At 42.1% G+C, this 21,728-nt stretch overlaps 1 protein-coding gene across 1 annotated transcript in view; it reads right to left on the reverse strand.

The window, feature by feature from the left end:
• ZFHX3 (zinc finger homeobox 3) overlaps positions 1-21,728 on the reverse strand; it is a 1,109,046-nt gene that overhangs the window by 457,240 nt on the left and 630,078 nt on the right. The window contains exon 5 of the mRNA NM_001386735.1: positions 16,923-17,012. The gene's annotated coding sequence lies outside the window, so the exon portion shown is untranslated. The remainder of the gene's footprint in view (positions 1-16,922; positions 17,013-21,728) is intronic.

Below are 21,728 nucleotides of genomic sequence, written 5' to 3' on the forward strand. Positions count from 1 at the left end.
TAATTTACACATGTGTTTTCTTTGTAAGGGACACCACAGCCTTCTTGTGCTTAGGACCACCAGACGGTACTTTTGCATCATGCTTGCAGGGTATTTTCTTTTCTTTTTTTTTTTGAGACAGTCTTGCTCTGTCACCCAGGCTGGAGTGCATGGGTGCCATTTTGGCTCACTGCAACCTCCACCTCCTGGGTTCAAGTGATTCTCCAGCCTCAGCCTCCCGAGTAGCTGGGATTACAGGCACATGCCACCATGCCTGGATCATTTTTGTATTTTTAGTAGAGACAGGGTTTCCCCATGTTCGCCAGTCTGATCTCGAACTCCTGACCTCAAGTGATCTGCCCACCTCGGCCTCTCAAAGTCCTGGGATTACAGGTGTGAGCCACTGTGCCCAGCGTTGCAGGGTATTTTAAATGACAAAATCACCAACTAAGAGCACAAAATGTCAACAACATGGCATTATGAAAAGAACACTTGTTTATAGTATGAGAGATAAAACAGGAAGCAGACCCTTATTTGACCTCAGCTGGGAACACACACATTGGGCGACTTGATGTTTTCACCTCCCTGCATGTGTCTGTGAATAATGATGAAAGTGCTGCAAGTATTGATTTTGAAGTTACAACTAAATTTCAATGAGTAGGTGAATTTGCAAATACGGAATCTGTGAATAATGAGGTAATACATACTATCAGGATATACTAGTGAAAGAGTAGAGTTTTGCTTATTTCCAAATAGAGAAAAGGATCATCAAACTCACAGGGCATTTCTGACTTTGAAGTCCCTTCTTTAAATTGTACAAAACATCTACTTTCTGGCAAAGTTCATCTGTGCTTTCTTAGAAGTTTTCATATAAATAATTGGCACTCACCAGAAGTTGTCTAACTGTTGGGGATGGGGTGGTGCATTTTTCTCAAAGAAAGAAAACTGGTTTGCTGCCAGGAGAGGCAAAGACTAGGCAATTGATGAGACCCCACTGGAAGCTGAAGGACCTCCCGCTGTTTATGATTTAAAGTCGGCCTTGGCGAAATGACAGATGACTCACGTTAGGCACCTGTGCCCATATACAGAGGATTATACATGATAGTCTGAAAAGTATTCTTTTGAGCTAAATCTTGCCCTTTTTGAGTTATACCATCATGACATTTCATATGGAAAGCAGCTGCTTAGAAACTCATTTTTGCTTTTTGCTTATTGAGTCCCATCTTGTTGCAAAGAATGGATACAGAATTCTAAAACGCAATGCTACCCTTTTCACACTAACCAAAGGCACAGAGGTACATGTGTTTTAGATGTCAGGAAAGGGGGTCACTCAGGCATGCAGAGTGGACTGAGAGGAGAAGTGTAGTGAGATTCAGAAACTAAGAGTAATAAAAGGAGGGTTGGGGGCCGGGCGCGGTGGCTCATGCCTGTAATCCCAGCACTTTTGGATGCCCAGGCGGGTGGATCACCTGAGGTCAGGAGTTCAAGACCAGCCTGACCAACATGGAGAAACCCCGTCTCTACTAAAAACACAAAATAAGCTGGACATGGTGGCACATGCCTATAATCCCAGCTACTTGGGAGGCTGAGGCAGGAGAATCGCTTGAACCCAGGAGGCGGAGGTTGCGGTGAAGCAAGATCGTGCCATTGCACTCTAGCTGGGGCAATAAGAGCAAAACTCCGTCTCAAAAAAAAAAAAAAAAAAAAAAAAAGGAGTGTTGGGCACTTCTTACTACGTCTTATTAAAAGTCTATTTGGAGTTAGTTCCATCAGGATCAGAATCTCTGCTCTCTTATTAGTATTGTGATCCTAAAACGTTGAGTGACCCCTTTGAGAACTGCTCTCTCTTCTGTGAAATGGGACCCTAATACCAACCTCTTGGAATCACTGTGAGGCTTAAATGAGATAACAATGTCAAGTGCTGGGCTCTAAGTCCAGCAGAAAGTTGGTAATCATTGCTTTTGCTAGCATCTTCTGGGTTCCTAACTAGCAATCTGACTTTTTGGGCATATTCATGGAGATACGGAAGACTGGAGTTGAAGAGACCTGCTCTGGGTCAACTTCCTTACTTTATAGAGGAGAAAGTAGGCTGAGTGGGGTCCAACCAGCACAAGTATCACAAAGGTAGTCAGGGCAGAATAAGAAGGAGAACCTAGCTCCCTGAAGCCCAGTTCACAATTATACAGTAGGGTCCTGGTGCCTAGATTTCCACTCCAGATCCTCCTTCTACAACTATGAACTGTCTGCCACCCCCACACCCACCCCATTAGCCTGGTAACTACTGCTCCATGGGTTAGTGTCTTCTTTGGCAGAAAGACTTGGTGCTACATCAGCCAAGTTAGAATTTTTTAGAGCAGGAACCACTGAGTGTGAGTTTTTCGTGTCTCTTGACTATACATAAAAATAGCTATGAACAGATAATACTCACAGCATATTAATGTAAGACAAAGCAAAACGGATCACAGAAGCTACAGAAGGAATGCTCCTTTTAAAAGAGATCAATTATTTCTTCAGTTCTCTGTAGCAATTTGCAAGATGCTCCCTTGGAAAAGCCCACAGGGAAATGCTGCTGGATATATAAACCCTAAAGCTTATAACTGATCATGCAATAACGAGACAAGAAAGCTGTGCTGGACAAACTGGATGAGGCTGGTTAATTTCCAACAAGCCTGTCTTAACGAGCGGAGTACAGGCTTAACACTGGCCATTTCAAGGTGCCAGCAACCTTGCCATCAGTGTGGAGGTGTGGGGTAGAGGGTAAGATAGCACAGTCCTGGGGAAGCCATTGCAGCAACTGGGCCGTGCTATGGAATAATGAATCACGAGGCATTTGGGCAAGAAGTTATAACCAGAAGGACGTGGCAATAGCAAGACAAATCACAATGGACTTAGTGGGTCCTGACAGTGAAAAGGAGGTCAGAGGCTGGAGTGTGTGGTTAAATGAGTAGGGTCTACCACTGTGCAGTTCAGCCAGGAGAGCTGAGTGGTCCAGACAGCTACAGAAGCACCAAGATTGGAGCTAGTGGCACAGCTCAGGCTGGCTCACCTCTGCTCAGCTAAGTTGGGTTATATAAGCAGGTATCAACATTTTGAAGTGGTTATATAGGCCTGGTGGGATGGGTGTCCCTTCGTCCACTTCATCACATAAGAGATAAATCTTTGCTATAAATTGCTCATGCTTCAGCAAAGAACAATATTTCTTAGTGGGTATTGGAAGGTCTGGAGGCAACAGGCAAATTCTATTTCTCCATGGCTGTGTCCCACTCACTCTCTATTCTTCACCCATTTTTGTCCTCATTGTACTCATAGCCAATCAAACTGAGGATCCACAAAGGCTGATATCAGATGTAACTTCATCAGAATATCCTCCTTGTGAAAGATCTGTACCTATATTTAATCTGCCAAGGTAATAGGTTTAAGTGAAACACAGCTGACATATCCAACCCACTAAGCTATTATATTTGCATTTTATATTGAACATCCCTGTAATATTCTCGTTGCTAGATGGAACTGACATTTCCATATGACGGTAAAGGCTAAATTGTGAATTGCTTTCATCGGGGTTTTGCTTCAGTGATTTCACCACGCTATAGACATAGACAAAAAATCACAACAAATACACATAAGTATCCAACACGTTTTGTGTGTGTGTGTGTGTGTGTGTATAGTCTGTTCAGTGGCTTAATTTGGACTTACGCAACAGATCACCCACCCAGAATCTAATTATTCAGCAACCATGTTACTTATTTGGAATTGATAATAATAATAAATGTTTTCTAAGAAGCTGGAGAAGCTGTCACTGAAGTGACATCATGGAGGTTCAGAGATGGTAGAGAATGCCGGTAGAGAACGCCTCAAGTGCTTGGTCTCAGTTGGATGTGAGGTCTGTTTTAAGAATGGTACACTGATGGCCAGGAGCCCTTGGGGATCATGCACCATGCTAGGCAGCCCTCCTTTCAAAGAAAGGCTTGTGAAATCAGGACTTGGGATCTTAGATCTTTTTTAGTGTGGGATTTGCAGGAAAGCAAGTTTGGCCTTTGCAAGGATGGGAAGTGGCAGCACTGGTCCATCGGAGGAGGGTTTTTGGGAATATTTTTGAGTGGCAGATGAAGGATTCTAGAAGAGTATTCATCCTGAGGAGAGGGTCAGACACACAGGCTTGACTTAAGAAGGATGACACAGTAATCAAAGGGGTGGGCGGATTTGGGGTACAGGACGCCTTCCACTGTGAAGAAGACAGATTATCCTTCTCTCCTCCATCCTCCAAGCCACATCCCAGCACACAGGCTGAATCCCAGTGACAAGTGAAAGATTCGAGAATGATTTTCACACAAAGCCTCTTCGAGGGACAGGACATGGGGGCCAGAAGGGCTTTGGGAACAAGGCAACTGATTATGGCATAACAGTCAAGGAAAGAGATTCTTTCCCAGCTATGGAGGAGTTTCCAGGCTGTGGAAATGCCAAAGGTGAAAATGACAAAGTGGAATTGAGGGAATTTCAACCCGAAGCAGACACCTGTGCTCATGGCCATACCAGCCCCATGTCCAGCGGGATCCCTTAGTGACTGGAACCTGTGATATCACCAACTATGGCAGCAGGGAGATGTTGGCACACAGTGATGCCACCAGCTTGAGGAAGGACAGGAGAGACTGCCTTTGCACGGACAGCAACCAGGAGATCTCCCAGCAGCAGGGACAGAGCAGGATGGGGCACCCTCACAAAGACTGATACATGGCAGAGGACTTAGAAACCAGCAGGGGTTGAGAAGACTGATGTGAACACATGTGACATCCCCTTTCCCAGTTCACTCCCCAGAGTACCTGGGGGAGATTTGGAGCAGAAGTGGGGGCTTACAATTGCAGGTGGAGGTCAAAGCCACCTATATTAACAGAGCCCAGCTCTATATAGCTTTGACCAGAGAAACTGGTGATCTCAGCAACCTATTCTTGGAAACTCTGTGAAGGGAGGATGGGTGGTCAAACTCCACTTGTATGGACAATGATAACTAATTTAGAACCTTGCGCTTACATTTCCCCCAAAACTCATAGCAGTCACCACACTGCCCTCTCATTGTTGATTTACTCATCTGTCTCCTCTTGCAAGATGTAAGCTCCTTGAGGAAAGGAACTATATTTTATTCATCTTCACATCCCCACTTTTCTGTTTTTTTGTTTGTTTCTTTGTTTAATACAGTCTCGCTCTGTCACCCAGGCTGGAGTTCAGTTGTGTGATCATAGCTCACTGTAGCCTCAAACTCTTGGGCTCTAGCAATCCTCCTGCCTTGGCCTCCCAAAGCACTGGGATTACAGGCATGAACCACTGCATGGGGCCCACATTCCAAATTTTCAACACTGTGTCAGGCAAACAGCAGACACTCAATCCAGGCATGTTGGATGAATAAATAGATGATGCCTTAAAAAAATAGATGATGAATAAGTCATAATAATGAGATGGCCTCAAATGAGAGGTAGGTTATGTAAATAAGCAAAGATGGTGTCCAAGGATGTTGTTCCAAAGACGTAGGGCTCCTTCTGGGGAGGCTGTCATGGGGAGTTAGGAGGAATTTGTATGGTCCAGAGCTGGCCCCTACCTGGGCCCTTCCAGAACCCCATGGAAACTCATCAGATTGTAGCCCCTAGTACTGATCTAGGTGTTCTTGAGGTGAGCAGAGAGGGTAGCTGGGCCACACCTCAACTACTTTAAACTCTTAGTAATTGAAGAAGTGAAAGCGTAAGAGTAAGGGTCCTAGAAGGTGAGAAGAGATGACAGATGAACTTGTCCTGCCTCTTTAGGTCTGGGAACCTTAAGAGGGTTGAGTCCTTGGGCGTGGACCATGATAGGCTATACTTCAGTGAGATGTGGGCCTTGGGCTGCTGTGGGATGTGCACAGAGATTATTCCACAGGACAGAGGCCATTCCCCTGTTTCCTTCTCTTAGGATGTAGTAAGGAAGCTCCACTCCTGTGAGCAGTCCCAGGGTCCCAGCCAAGGTTTCTTGGTTATGCTTCCAACAAGGGTGGCACTTTGGCCAGAGGAGCTTCACTAGATGACAGGGCAGTTACATGTCTGTTGATTCCAAGCCGCAGAGTTGTGACCTTTTAGGAGAGAGCCGAGGCATTATGAGCCAGGAGTGAACCATCCTGAACACCAAGCATGGCTGGCAGCATCAGGTGAGTGCTGGAGACTAGCTCTTCCCTCCTGGCCAGGAGCTTGGGAGAATGAGGCTTGGCCAATGAAACGCACATAAGTCACATATCTATGAGGTCTCTGTCCCCATCCAGGTTTGGAGCTATGAACACAAGACTCAGGATCAGAAGTCTGTGGGTAATGGTTCAGAATCCAGGCTGACTGCGCTCCTAAACAGCCAGCTGGGTCATCGCCAGCCATCGAACCCCGAGGTGCTGGGTGGGCCAGGCTTTTGGAAGCTGTCTCCTCCATGACCATAGCCTCATAATGAAGGGGGTCTTTCCCAGCTGAACATATCTCTTGATTAATCTCTATTTGCTGTTCATCTATATGTATTTAAAAAAGGAGAGAGCCATGATAACACAATGTCCTTCTAAATGCTCGTATCTTAAAGCAAGTCTACATATTCTTTAGATACGATGTGCTTAAAATAAGCAGCAATTTAGGGTACACTTTTTCACTTTTAAAACTTGCAACTGACTTCGGTTCCTATATAATAAAGTTTTATACAAACTAGTAATTCTAAAATGATTCTTTCATTCTTGACTGGTTGAGAAACTGAGGGTTGTAGAAGTTTTGTAAAGTAATATTTAGTGTCCCCAGAGGAAGTTATGTCCCTTTATACTCCTTCATGTATGTGTGTATTTGCTTCAAGGTTTTCAGGCACTGAGTGCCAGTGTGGATGTATATGTATATATGTGTATGTGACACGTCTGTGTGCCTATATGCGTGTGTGTATATAATGTGCATATGTGTCTGTGTGTCTATATACCTGTATGTGGAGTGTATGTGTATGTGTGTGTACTGCATATATAATGTGTCTGTCTATGTGCCTGTATGTGGAGTGTGTGTGTACTGTGTATATAATGTGTCTGTGTGTCTATGTACCTGTATGTGGAATACATGTGTGTGGGTATACTGTGTATAAAATGTGTCTGTGTGTCTATGTACCTGTATGTGGAGTACATGTGTGTGTGTATACTGTGTATAAAATGTGTCTGTGTGTCTATGTGCCTGTTTGTGGAGTGTTTGTGTAGGTGTGTGTATACTGTGTATATAACGTATTTGTGTGTCTATGTGCCTGTATGTGGAGTATACGCGTGTGTGTATACTATGTATATAATGTGTCTGTATGTCTATGTGCCTGTATGCGGAGTGTATGAGTGTGTATATACTGCGTATATGATGTGTCTGTGTATATGTATTTGTATGTGGAGTGTGTGTGTTTGTATACTACGTATATAATGTGTCTGTGTCTATGTGCCTGTATGCGGAGTGTATGAGTGTGTATATACTGTGTATATGATGTGTCTGTGTATATGTACCTGTATGTGGAGTGTGTGTGTTCATATACTATGTATATAATGTGTCTGTGTGTCTATGTGCCTGTATGCGGAGTATACGTGTGTGTGTATACTATGTATATAATGTGTCTGTGTGTCTATGTGCCTGTATGCGGAGTGTATGAGTGTGTATATACTGCATATATGATGTGTCTGTGTATATGTGTTTGTATGTGGAGTGTGTGTGTTTGTATACTATGTATATAATGTGTCTGTGTCTATGTGCCTGTATGCGGAGTGTATAAGTGTGTGTATACTGTGTATATGATGTGTCTGTGTATATGTGCTTGTATGTGGAGTGTGTGTGTTCGTATACTATGTATATAATGTGTCTGTGTGTCTATGTGCCTGTATGTGCAGTGTATGAGTGTGTGTATACTATGTATATAATGTGTGTGTGTATATGTACCTGTATGTGGAGTGTATAAGTGTGTGTATACTGTATATATAATGTGTGTGTGTATATGTGCCTGTATGTGGAGTGTGTGTGTATACTGTGTATAAAATGTGTGTGTTTGTCTATGTGCCTGTATGTGGAGTGTGTGTGCGTACTGTGTATATAATGTGTCTGTGTGTATATATGTGTGTGTGTATACTGTGCAATATGTGTGTGTGTTTATGTGCGTGTATGTGGAATGTTTGCATATGTGTGTGTATACTGTACATATGATATGTGTGTGTGTATAAGGGCCTGTATGTGGAGAGTGTGTATGTGTGTGTGGTTGTATACTGTGTATAAAATGTGCCTGTGTGTATATGTTCATGTGTGTGTGTGCACTGTGCATATAATGTGTCTTTGTGTCTATGTGCCTGTATGTGGAGTATATGTGTATGTATGGGTATAATATGTATATGTGTCTATGTGTCTATGTGTGTGTGTAGATACCGTGTATATGTGTCTGTGTGTACATGTGTGTGTGTACTGTGTATAAAATGTGTCTGTGTGTATATGTGCATGTGTGTATGTCCTGTGTATGTGTCTGTGTGTCTACGTGCCTGTATGTGGAGAATGTATGTGTGTGTGTGTGTGTGTGCACGTGCACGTGTGTGTTGTGGCTCAATGGAGGCTATACTGGATGTCTCCCCTATGTGCTGAGTATGCACTAGAATGGAACGTCTGCTTTTCTAGACCACATGAGTAACGTCAAAGAAGTTGCATTCGATCCTTATATTGAAGTTTTTTTTTAATTGAAAAACATGTTTTTATTCCAAAAGACTGAGCAGGATGGTATTTTAAAAATAATTCAAGTAATTTAAATTTAAGACCCTAAAAAAACTGTCCAGTCTGTGGTCCAAATCTATTCTCTGGCCCAGCGCCCAAGGCATTTTCATTAGATTGGGAATTAGATACGTTTTCATTCACTTCAAACTTTTGTGCTCAGTGTTTTGTTCTTCAGAGACAAGCTCACAAGTGTCAGTGGTCACACTGACCTCAATAATACGCCTCCTTTCCTTGAATAATCTATTTCAGTTGCATTATTGCCACTTAAAGATGGCCTTGTACTTGCAGACACATTTTCAGTGGATGTATGGGGAATGCTGATAATTCCCCTACATGTTTTTGCCTCTAAAGTTAGTAACTTGTTTGAAGAAAATGTCCCTAACTTACTTTCTTTGAAGCCATTTGCAAAAAGAGGCTATCAAAATAATTCTCTAATTTTTTCTTGCTATTATTAAAGGAGATTGTATTAGTCTGTTCTCATGCTGCTAATAAAGACATACCCAAGAATGGGTAATTTATAAGAAAAAGAGGTTTAACAGACTCACAGTTCCAAATGGCTGGGGAGGCCTTACAATCACGGCAGAAGGTAAAAGGCATGTCTTACATGGCAGCAGGCAAGAGAGAATGAGAGCCAAGTGAAAGGGGAAACCCCTTATAAAGTTATCAGATCTCATGACTACCACGAGAAGAGTATGGGGGAAACCGCCCCCAAGATTCAGTTATCTCCCACCAGGTCCCTCCTACAACACATGGGAATTACGGGAGCTACAATTCAAGAAGAGATTTGGGTGGGGATACAGCCAAACCATATCAGAGATTTTGTCACACTATACTAAGATTTCCTTAGGTTTTAAAATTTCATTAGTGAAAATTCTACTGTTGTATCTTCAGCAAATAGTACTGACATATAAGTAAGAAAAAAAACCCAGTTAACTCAAAGAAAAATGGGCAAATGAATTGAACAGGCACTTCACACACACACACACACACACACACAAAATTCAAAAGACCAATCAGTGCAATTAAGGAAATGCAAATTAAAATCATAACGAGGGACCATTCCCGCAACTACCACCTTGGCCAACATTGAAGTCTCACAATAACAAGTGTCAGCATGGATGTAAAGGATGACAGCAACTTCCTACACTGTTGGTGCTAGTTGGCTCATACTTCAGTGTTGTCTATGTAATGCAGAAGGTACTTTTCAAATGATTCTGAAACCAGGTCCTTATTTTTCTTTTCTTTCAATGAAGGCAGGTGTACTTTCCCCACAAGTCTGTGATATGGTTGCACTGATAGCTTCTTACCCTTTCAGGTACAATAACATGTTTTCATCAAAGTAATGTATCCCCTGAGTACTAATACATAAAATAGCCACATATCATGATATACCAAGCATGGTGCTTGTACACAGTAGATGCTCAATGAACACTAAGTTGACATAAGCATATCTGTCATGTAATAAAACATTCCTGAAACAAGATGTTATCAATTGCTATATATTCTAGCCGTTCAGTTTTTGTGGATGTGTGTGTGTTTATTTTTTGTTGTGGTAACATTTATATAACATAAAATTTGCTATTTTATCCATTTTTAATTTTACAATTCAGTGGCATTAATTACAATCACAATGAATAACCATCTAGTTGTCCAGTGTCAACATTCATTTTATTTTATTTATTCATTTATTTATTTTTTGAGACGGAATCTCGCTCTGTCACCCAGGCTGGGGTGCAGGGGTGCGATCTTGGCTCACTGCAAGCTCCAGCTCCTGGATTCACGCCATTCTTCTGCCTCAGCCTCTCAAGTAGTTGGGACTACAGGTGCCCGCCACCACGTCTGGCTAATTTTTTTGTATTTTTAGTAGAGACGGGGTTTCACCGCGTTAGCCAGGATGGTCTCCATCTCCTGACCTCATGATCCGCCCGCCTCAGGCTCCCAAAGTGCTGGGATTACAAGTGTGAGCCTTTAAGCCACCGTGCCCAGCTACCCTCATTTTAATATGTGAATTGTTAGAGTCAACTTTTATATTTCAAATTTCTTCTTTTTTCCCTTCCTTCAATACAGCCCTTCCTCCCTCCTACATTTCATCTTTTACTATCTTTGCCAGCTCCTGGTCTCATCTGCAATCTGAGTCATGTGTACCATTATTTGTTTGGGTGACCAGCGATCTCTGTGTCAGAAGAATTTATTTTCTTCTTCAATTTGGCTTGCAGTTGTCCAGTAGCAGAAGCTGCTACATTAAACTACGGGCAGTTAAAACTCAAAAAAGTGTCTATTCTTACCAGGAATAATGTAGACTCTTGGTTTCAGAATCCTCTGAGACCTCTCACAGATAATCCAAAGTACCAAAAATGACTAGCCCAAAGTCTTAGTGAGGGTACTATGGGTACTAACTCACCAACTGTGTACAGTCCCCAAGTTAGTCTCTCTTGCTAAACAGTGAATCACTAAGCTGTGGATAATGTTACACCACAAGTGTGATAAAACGATAACGATGATGATAATGACAACAGCGAGCACGGAGCACTGTTAGGGGCCAAGCGTGGCTCTAAATCTGTTACGTGTATTACCTTATTTGGTCATCATGATAATCCCATGGCATATGCACAATTACTAGCCTATTTTATAGATGGGGAAACTGAGGCTCAGAGAAGTGAATCATTATAATCCCAGAACCTTGGTCTTAGTCGCTACACCGTGACCCCAGATGAGTAGAACCCAGAAGAATGCTCTTCTTTCTCATTCTTTCTGGAAGGCTGGATATTCCAAATGAAAAACAGATAGATTAGGTTAGGGACAAGAGTAAAACACACATTCACACACATACACACCACACACACACATGCACACACACATACACACCACACACGCACACACCATGCACACACACATACACACCACACACACACACACCATGCACACAAACGCACACACCATGCACACACGCACACACCATGCACACACACCACACACACACCATGCACACGCACATACACACCGCACACACGCACACACCATGCACACACACCACACACACACCATGCACACACACACACCACACACACACCATGAACACACACATACACACCACACACACGCACACACCATGCACACACACATAACACATCACACACACACACAAACACACACACCTCTTTATGTCTTTGGGGGTCAGTGAGGGGTGGGGAGGGAGCTTGGGGAATTAGCCAGTCAGTAATAACTGCTCAAACAAAAACATCCAGAAAAAATATGGCAGTTTAGCTGGGAAGAGATTATTTTTAGCTGCTGGGCAGGAAGCTGTTGAGTATAAAATGCAGGGCTACTGAAGGATTTCAACACAAAAGGGACATAATGAAAGCTATGCTTTTAGGAAAATAAAACTGTGATCCATGAGTATGAGGGCCTGGAAGAAGAAAAGACTTGAGGTGGAAAGGCCAATGTAGAGGGGCCTACAGGAATGTGCAGGGCAGGCATTGACGGCTGGAGCTGGGGTAGTGGCATGGGGACGGAGAAGCTGACAGAGACCCTGTAGAAGCAGAACAGGTAGAGCAGTGGGTATGGAAGTCAAGTTGACTGCAAGAGTTTAACCTGAATGGCTAACAGGCCGTGGGGGTCTCATGAAGAGAAATAGGAAAGCTGGGAGAAGAAGGGAATATGGGGGCGGAAGTGCAGGCACAGAATATGAGGCCCTGGTGAGATGCACAGGGGCACTGGGAGTTTAAGTTCAAGAAGGAAGTCAGAGCCCCATGCAGAAGCAGCTTCAAAAGCTCAGGGTGGGAGGAGACGGGCTACGGCTGAGTGTTCGGTGAGAAAGGGGAGGAGCAGCAAATGTAGAAACATCGGTCACATGGACTGACGATGAAGAAAGAAGAGAGACGTCAGGACAGGTTAAAGGGGCGGAAGGAGCCAGAGAAAGTCTAGCAGAGGATAAAGGAGCCAATGTTCATAGACCAACGGGCAGACTCCAGTGGAGCAGAGAGAAAGAAAATGCATGAGAGAGAAAGGAACAACCAATGCAACCAAAGTATGCTGGCGGAAGGCCACCGGAGTCCAAAGAGAGGGGAGCTTAGAGAGAATGACCTTTTCTCCAGCAGAGAAAGCAGAGCAGGAAAGCAGTTGTGGAAGCAGAACTGATTGACAACCTCCAGCTGTCTTTGCACCTTTGGATTCACCCAGCATTCATTGCAGGTCATGCTGCTCCCAGGCTGTTCCAGGCGATGACTGAGCACGGCAAAGTGCTAGAACTGCACCATTCCACCCTCAACCCCATGGGACTCCTCTAACAGGCAACGTTTGCTCAAGGACTCCTCCGTGGCCTGGCTGAGATGTAAAGAAAGAAGGAGAGAATCAAGAAACCTACAGATACGGAGCAGGGAGGTGAGGAATACTTAGGGAGTTCATGAGGGAAGGCTACGTCCAGAAAACAGCAAGAGTGTGGGTGTAATGAAAGGAGAACAGGGTTGCAATAAAGACTGTGAGAAATGAAATCAATGGAAAGAGAAAGTTAAATACACCAAGGAACCCTGAGGACCACCTGATCTTGGAGAACACACAAATGGTGCATCAGTTGGATTGGTTGTATGATTTTCTTTCTTTCTCTTTTTTTTTTTTTTGAGATGGAGTCTCGCTCTGTCACCCAGGCTGGAGTGCAGTGGCATGATCTCGGCTCACTGCAAGCTCCGCCTCTCAGGTTCACGCCATTCTCCTGCCTCAGCCTCCCTAGTAGCAGGGACTACAGGCGCCTGCCACCACGCCCGGCTAATTTTTTTTTTGTATTTTTAGTAGAGAAGGGGTTTCACCGGGTTAACTAGGATGGTCTTGATCTCCTGACCTCGTGACCCACCCACCTCGGCCTCCCAAAGTGCTGGGATTACAGGCATGAGCCACCACACCCAGCCGGTTCTACGATTTTCTTTATAATGCACTGTGTAGGCAAGGAGCAGAGACAGAAGACACAGAGTGGATGTCACTCTGGTTTGGGAGATTGATTATGTGGCCAACAGAGGGAGAAGGAGTTAAGGTCCTTAAAAGGCAGGTTAGAAATGCAAGAAGACTAAGAGAAAAAAAATTGCCTGCTAATACTGGCCTTGGAGGTGTCCAGTTCAAATCTCCATCTAAGATAAGCTGCTCTGGAAGCAGAGCTGATTGGCAGCCTGCAGTTGTCTTTGCACATTTGGATCCATCCAGCATTCATTCCAGGCCACGCCACTCCCAGCCTGTTCCAGGTAATGACTGAGAACAGTGGGGGTACCAGAACTGCAGCATTCCATTCCCAACCCTGTGGGACTCCTCTAACAGGCAATGGTTGCTTGGGGACTTCTCATTGGCCCAGGTGAGATTTTTCTCTGAATTACATACACATGGTCTGAGGCACTTCTTACCGGATCCATCCTTCCCACTATCCTTTCACAGGTGTTGGACTTGTGTAGCAGGTTGAAGCTCTCCCTGCCCACTCCAGCGCCCTTTCACTTTATGATTCACTGTAAATTTCCTGCAATACATCTCTTGCATGTCTAATTGTTTTGGCTTCTGCTTGTTGGAGGTTCTGAACTGACACAACTGGAATTGCTAATAATTCATGGAGGGGTTAGTAACTGAAAAGTGTAGTCAGTGAGGTGTGACTACAAAGATGTGAGGCTGATGGGAAAGAATCATGGGATTCTTTTTTGAAATAATGATAGATTCACAGGAAGTTGCAAAAATAGTACAGAATCCCCTATACTCTTCACCCAGCTTCCTCCAATGGCAGCATCTTATATAAGTCTAGAAGGATATTAAAACCAAGAAATTGACATCGATGTAATATTCACAACCAGTTTATATGATTTTATGCAATCAGATTCTCATCATGTTTTTGTCTCATAGAAATATTGATCTCATCTTCATTGCAAAAAGTCACTTAAGTAATAGTTTATTTCTAAGTAAACTAGCTCTATAACTGCAAGGTTTGTAAGACACATAAATAAAGCTGCAGGTGGAAGGGGAAATAGAATATGAGAGATGTCTACTGAGGAAAGAGGTCTCCATCCACCTGTTTATCTATCCATCCATCCATCCATCCATCCACCCACCCACCATCCATCCATCCATCCACCCATCCATCCATGTTTGCTAAGCCTTTCCCTAGTGTCAGGAACTATGCACTTTCTATTGCACTGAGATACGAACATCAAAATGGTAGCAGCAGCTATTGTACTTCTGTTTGGGCCCAGATGCAATGAGGAATCAGGGTGACTAGCCGGCAAAGAATATCCAGATCAGTCCTGAGATTGTTTCCACATTGGCAGTAATTCAACTGATAGCAACCTTATGCTCAACGGCTAGGATCATACCTTTTTATGAGTCATTGTAAAGTGCCAAGGGCGTTGACATATACTTCATAAATGCTAAATGATAACAAGCCAGTGAACCTAGAAGTATTGGATTCAGTATTTGAGACATTAAATCCAAGTTATGCTGTTCTAGAAACAAGGTAAACAAATAAATCAACCCCAAATCAAATAAAGCCCACATCCATCCCCAGCCAGCACTGGGTGTTGTATGGAATGCTCTTTATGGGTGAGTGGTTATCTCATGAAGGGGCACTTGTTAGTATTTTACCTGACAGATCACACACAATGCCTTGCCTGTGATTTGGGAGAAGAGTTTTATATCCAGTCCACAGTAGACAACAGCAACACTATATTCTTAAGGCTCCAATTCCCTTTATTTGATGCCAGAAAATAATGTCTGCTGAAGCCCTGGAGAAGAGTAACAGTCACCCCACTGAGCAATTAGACTGATCCTGGCAGGGAGTCTCTGTAGGCAGTACTGGGAGACACTGTTTGTATTTCAAAGCCAGGATTTAGTTTTCCTTAAAGACGTAAGTCTTTTTAGGGGTCCCTGTGATTCCTTGAGGGTTTAGGCACACAATCTGCAAAGCCTGAAATGCCACATAATCCTGTACTGGCTACTGAACTGGATACAGCATGGTCTGAGTGGTTTTCTGATTCACAGCCCAGAGCTCTGAACATGGCCTGGTGCTGTTTGATCTGGGGTCTCTGGGCATGGCCCCTTCTCTCTAGGAGTCTGCCGTCTTGGTTGCACATACAAACATGATTTCCTAGGACTCACATTCCCTTAGTCATTTCACAGTGATGACACCCTGAGGAGCAAAGCCCAACTTTACATAGCAAAATAGCGACGGCAAAGCTCATTGCAAATTAGGAGGCGATGACCATGACATCTCAGGGAGTGACACAGACTGACAAGATCACGCTCGAACATCGTCTAGGAGGAGATGCCATTCTTCAGTGGTCACTTCCAAAACAATTTTGCTGTCATTCAATTGCAGTCAAGGGAGGCAGAGCCAATGAGCCTACACCAGACAACTAGATCTGCCAATGAAGTATCGAGTAGAGGACTACAGAGCCAGGAATCAAAAGGTAATACAGCCATCAGATGCTGACCTTGCTACATTTTCTACAAATAGAAGATGATTCTATTTGTAGTTTCTGCCAGTTTCTGCATGGTGCAGGCCTAGCTCATCACGTTTTATAGAATTGAATGTACATGTGAACAATAGGATGTTTTCAATGTTTACGATGGCGGTTCTCAAATATTACTGAGCATCCCAATCACCTGGAGACTTCAAAAAAAGCAGATTTCTGTTCTACAACCTCAGAGATTCTGACTTGGTAGATCTGGGATGAGGAAGTTTTTAGCAGGCACTCCAGTGATGGGAGCAGATGGCCTGTCCACCATGCTTTTGGAAATCATTGCTTTAAATCAGTGTTTCTCAGTCTTTGCAAGGGTGCAATGTAAAGAGTTTAGGGAAATACCTTCAAAATAATCCAGTTTGAATTTCTTATTTTGCAGATGAAAAAACTGAGGGATCAAGTAACTTTCTCAAGGTCACTCAGTCACAAGTACAAAGTTAGGATGATAAGCAACATTTAATCATAGTGCCCTTTGTACCATTTCATTTGGTGAATCTCCTCTCCATCAAGTCCTGTTGGACATGTACACAAGTAAGTAGGAACTAGAATGCATTTGGATTATCATCCAAATGCATTATAATGATACTATCTAAATTATAATATAATTATAATGATGTGGATAATTTTTATATCATTGAAACAACTGGTGAGAACTTCAGTGTTGCCAAAACAAACACTAGAAAAAATGAATTCAGAAAGAAACGGCACCTACCTTCTCCAAATCGAGGGTGAAGATGAAGATAGCAAGGACTCAAAGTTGTCCTGTTAACAAGCACAACGTCTGGGTTCCCCAAATCAGAGTCTATAACAAAGCAAAAAGTAAATAGTTTCAAAAAACTATTTTTGGTACATATTCCTGATACTGTATCAAAACAACAGTACATGCTTTCCACAAGCTGTTCTAGAGTCAAACTAGATTGAGGTGTTATAAATATGGTCATCATTTCTAGGTCAATACCTCACTTGACTTTGTGTCGCCATTGTCAGTTTAAGCTGAAGAGTTCTGTGTCTCAGCAAATTTCAGATGTGTCTTGACAAGGGCCATTGGAAGATTAGCCCATGGACTTGACTCTGAATTGTTATAATAGAAGACCCCCTCAGACATGGGATATGAAGCTCTGAGAACTTCTGACTCATTTGTTTGGATCCCCTGTTAGAAGAGAGTGAAAACTGAATACAACCTCATTTCAAATGAATGGGAAGTCAGAGAAGGCAAGCCAAGAAGAGTGACTAGGTCTTTATGATTTCAGAGTTTGTATTTGTACTCATTGATGGGTTGATTGATTGACTCATTCATTCATTCAAGAACGATTTATGAAAACTTTTCGTGAGCTAAGCAGTTCTTCTATTCAGTAAGATGGTAGGTTTTACCCAATGTGAAACTGATTGGCTGAAAGGAGGGTAAATACCCATAATTAGTTATTAATCCTATAATAATTTAGAAGAAAGGCCAAGGCCTAACAACCTTACAGGTTGGTTATACAGGCAAGAGCACTTAAGTGGGAGTAAAGTGGCCTGGGTCAAGTTCTGGGAGACCTTCGGCTATAGGAAGGTTTCTCAACTTCAACAGTAGATACTTGTGACTGAATAAATATTTTTTGGGTGTGTGGGCTGTCCTGTGCACTGTAAAATGTTTAGCAGCATTTCTGGCCTCCAGATGCCAGTAGCATCTCCCCACCCTCCAGTTATGACAACCAAACAGGTCTCCAGATTTTGCCAAATGTCCCCATTAAGAACCACTGGAGTACAGTAGTAACTACTATTTTTTAAGCACCTTTTAGGGGCATTGTGCCAGGGTTTAATATATATCTTCACATTCAGTCTTGACACCAGCTTTTCAAACAAGCATTCTTATTTCTATTCAAAACATGGTGAAACTAAGGTCCAGAGATGTTAAGGGAATCATCCAATATCACACAATTGGCAAGCATTGGAAAAGATTTGAGCCCAGAATTATTTGACTTCAAGGCTTATATTCATCGTTCCCTATTATTTTGCTATGACATATATATATATATATATATTTGTTTTCTGAGACAGGGTCTCGCTCTGTCTCCCAGGTTGGAGTGCAGTGGTGCAATCTCGGCTCACTGCAAGCTGCACCTCCCGGGTTCACGCCATTCTCCTGCCTCAGCCTCCCGAGTAACTGGGACTACAGGCGCCCACCACCACACCTGGCTAATTTTTTGTATTTTTAGTAGAGAAGAGGTTTCACATGTTAGCCAGGATGGTCTCGATCTCCTGACCTCGTGATCCGCCCACCTCAGCCTCCCAAAGTGCTGGGATTACAGGCGTGAGCCACCGCACCCGGCCACTATGACATATTTTAAGCATTTGGAAAAGTACAGAGAATAACCTAATAAAGACCTATATATTTAGAACTCCATTTTGATCACTGCTAATATTTTCTCCCTTTGCTTTATATCTATGCTTTTGGACAATAAAATGGTATAAATGAGATGGATCTTTCTTTTAGACTTTCTCAATTCTTTCTCTCTCACTTCTTCCCCCAAATAACCATTCTACTGAGATTGCTGCCATGCCGTTCCCGGGTAAGAGTTTACATTTTCTTACATGTACCTGAGTAGTCTCATAAATAATATATAGCACTTGAAGAAAACTACATAAAAGTACAAATTCTTGTGCAATCTGTTTTCTTTAAACTCAACGTTAAGTTTTTGAGTTTTTTCTATGTTGGAGCTACGGTTTCAATTCCTTTATTTTAACTGTGTGAGAATAAATATACCACAATGGCTTGACATTTAGGTTGTCTCCTGTTTTTCACTGTTACAAGTCACAGCGCGGGGAACATGACTGTGTATGTGTGTGTGTACACACGTGTGAGCGTTTCCCTAGGAAACACAGCTAGATGTGGGATTCCTGGGTTGCAGGATGTGCATGTCTTCAACTTTATTAGATATTGCTAAATTGCTCTCCAAAATGATTGTACTAAATTACACTCCCTCCAACACACTGTAAGATTATTCATTTCTTCACATCCTTGCCAACGTTCGGTATTTTCAAACTTTATAATGTTTGCCAGTCTGATTGGGGTGAAATAGCATATAATTATTGTTTCAAAAGCCTATGTTCTTAACCACTACTCTTACTGTCTACGCTTCTTGAAGCTTCAGTTATGTAAAATGGAGAAAATACCTTTTTCGATTTCTTGGAGTAGTAATAAATTCTCCTGGTGTAATATACGAATGCATTTTGTAAATATGAAGTGCCACCTTTGTTCATTGCTGGCAGTGGCAGAGAAAATGTGCAGTTTCTATAGCAGGCAATTTGATGAAATCTATCAAAATTTCAAATGCACATGTATTTTCTTTGAACGTAAAAAAATAATTTCAAAATTATAGAAAAGGTGCAAAAATAGTGAAGAGAATTTCTATATACCCAGATTGTCTAAACATTAACATTTTAATCACATTTGAATTATAATATTTATGTGCATGTATATTATATGCACACGCATTATTTTTCCAATGATGTTAACTCTGACAATTTTCTATAAACATTCTGCTAAATAACCATGGAAAAGTTGTCAAAATCAAGAAATTAACATTGCTATAATACCATTACCTAATTTGTATATCTTATCCAAATTTTTTCAACTGCTTTACTATTGTCCTTAACCGTAAAATAAATTTTTTTTTTCCTTTCCCAGGATCCAATCTAAGATCATTCATTGTACTGAGTTGTCAAGTCTCTTCAATTTCATTTAGCATGGAATAATTCTTTAGTCCTTTTTTTCTCTTTCAGGACCTTGACATTTTTGAAGAGCGCTGGTGAGTTATTTTGAAGAATATCCCTCATTTTAGGTTTGTCTGATGTTTCCTCATGATTAGATTCAGGGTATGCATTTTTGACAAAAATAACATGGAATTGACGTTATGTGCACCATATGTCAGTTTGTCCCAATACTGGTGATGCCATTTCGATTGCTTGGTTAGAGTGGTGTCTGCTAGGTTTCTATTGTCCTTTTTGTAATTGGTAAGTATCTTTTTGGGAGATATTTTGAGACTCTGGAAATATCCTGTTTATATCAGCATGGACTCATGGATTTAATGAGTTATACTGTGCTACTATCGATGTTTATTTTGATGCACGCTTGGCCAGTTGGGACCCCTTCATTCTTGCTCCTGATGTGTGTCTTCTGACATGTCCCCATTTTTCCGTGAGCATTTCCTTACTTTCTGGCACAGTAAGATGTCCCAGGTTCATCTTCTGTTTTCCCAGCTTCTGTCCTGGAATGGGCCATTTTCCATTGAAGTAGAGAATAGTATTTAGAAACCAAGATCCGGGTGCTAGGCATGTTCTTTGTTAGTGGTGCACCTATCTGGTTTTTTTTTTTTTTTTTTTTTTTTTTTGAGATGGAGCTTTGCTCTTGCCGCCCAGGCTGGAGTGCAGTCTTGGCTCACTGCAACCTCCGCCTCCCGGGTTTAAACAATTCTCCTGCCTCAGCCTCCCGAGTGGCTGGGATTACAGGCGCCCACCACCATACCCGGCTAATTTTTATATTTTTAGTAGAGACGGGGGTTTCACCATGTTGGGCAGGCTGGTCTCGAACTCCTGACCTCAGGTGATCCACCTGCCTTGGCCTCCCAAAGTGCTGGGATTACAGGCATGAGCCACTGCGCCCAGCCTATGCACCTAACTTTTAACCTAGCAATTTCTCTTTCAAGAATTCTTGCAGCAGATATGCCCACACACTTGTTAAAGGATTTATGTGCAAGGTTATTAACTGCAGCATTATATAGGATAGCAAAAGATTAGACATAACCTAAAGATCTATTAATAGGAGACTGGTTCTATAAATTATTTGAATCCATACAGTGGAATATTATGTATCCATAAAAGATTAATAAATTGCTTCAAAAATATATTGTTAAACTAAAAAAAATACAACTTTGTGTCTAGTGTGTTACCATTTGTGCACTACTAAAAGGAGAAATATATATACAGTTACAGGTATATGTCTATATGCTTGCTGATAAGTGCATAAAATATCTCTGGAAAAATGCACAAGAAGCCAAAAACATTGACTGTGGGGAAGAGGATTGGGTAGCATGGGGAACAGAGGGAAGATGATGTTTACTATGAACTTTGTTGTACCATTTAAATTTGGGACTATATGAAGTATTAAAAATAAAATACTATAAAACATAAAATAAATATAGCATTAATAAAGCATTATTTTAACCTAAGGTATTCATTGAGAACTCAAATATCAGAAGGGGAATTCTGTTTTCCAAGAAAATTGGCTAGCTAAAAGTGAAACTCCAATTTGATCACTATTCCTTTGTATAAATATAAACATTCCTGTGATTGTTTTTTTTTTTTTTTTTTTTTTTTAGGACAGAGTTTCACTCTTGTTGCCCAGGCTGGAGTGCAACAGCACAATCTCGGCTCACCGCAACTTCCGCCTCCCGGGTTCAAGTGATTCTCCTGCCTCAGCCTCTTGAGTAGCTGGGATTACAGGGATGCACCACCACGCTCGGCGAATTTTTTATTT

Source organism: Homo sapiens, chromosome 16, assembly GCF_000001405.40.
Source record: "Homo sapiens chromosome 16, GRCh38.p14 Primary Assembly".
Taxonomy (NCBI): Eukaryota; Metazoa; Chordata; class Mammalia; order Primates; family Hominidae; genus Homo; species Homo sapiens.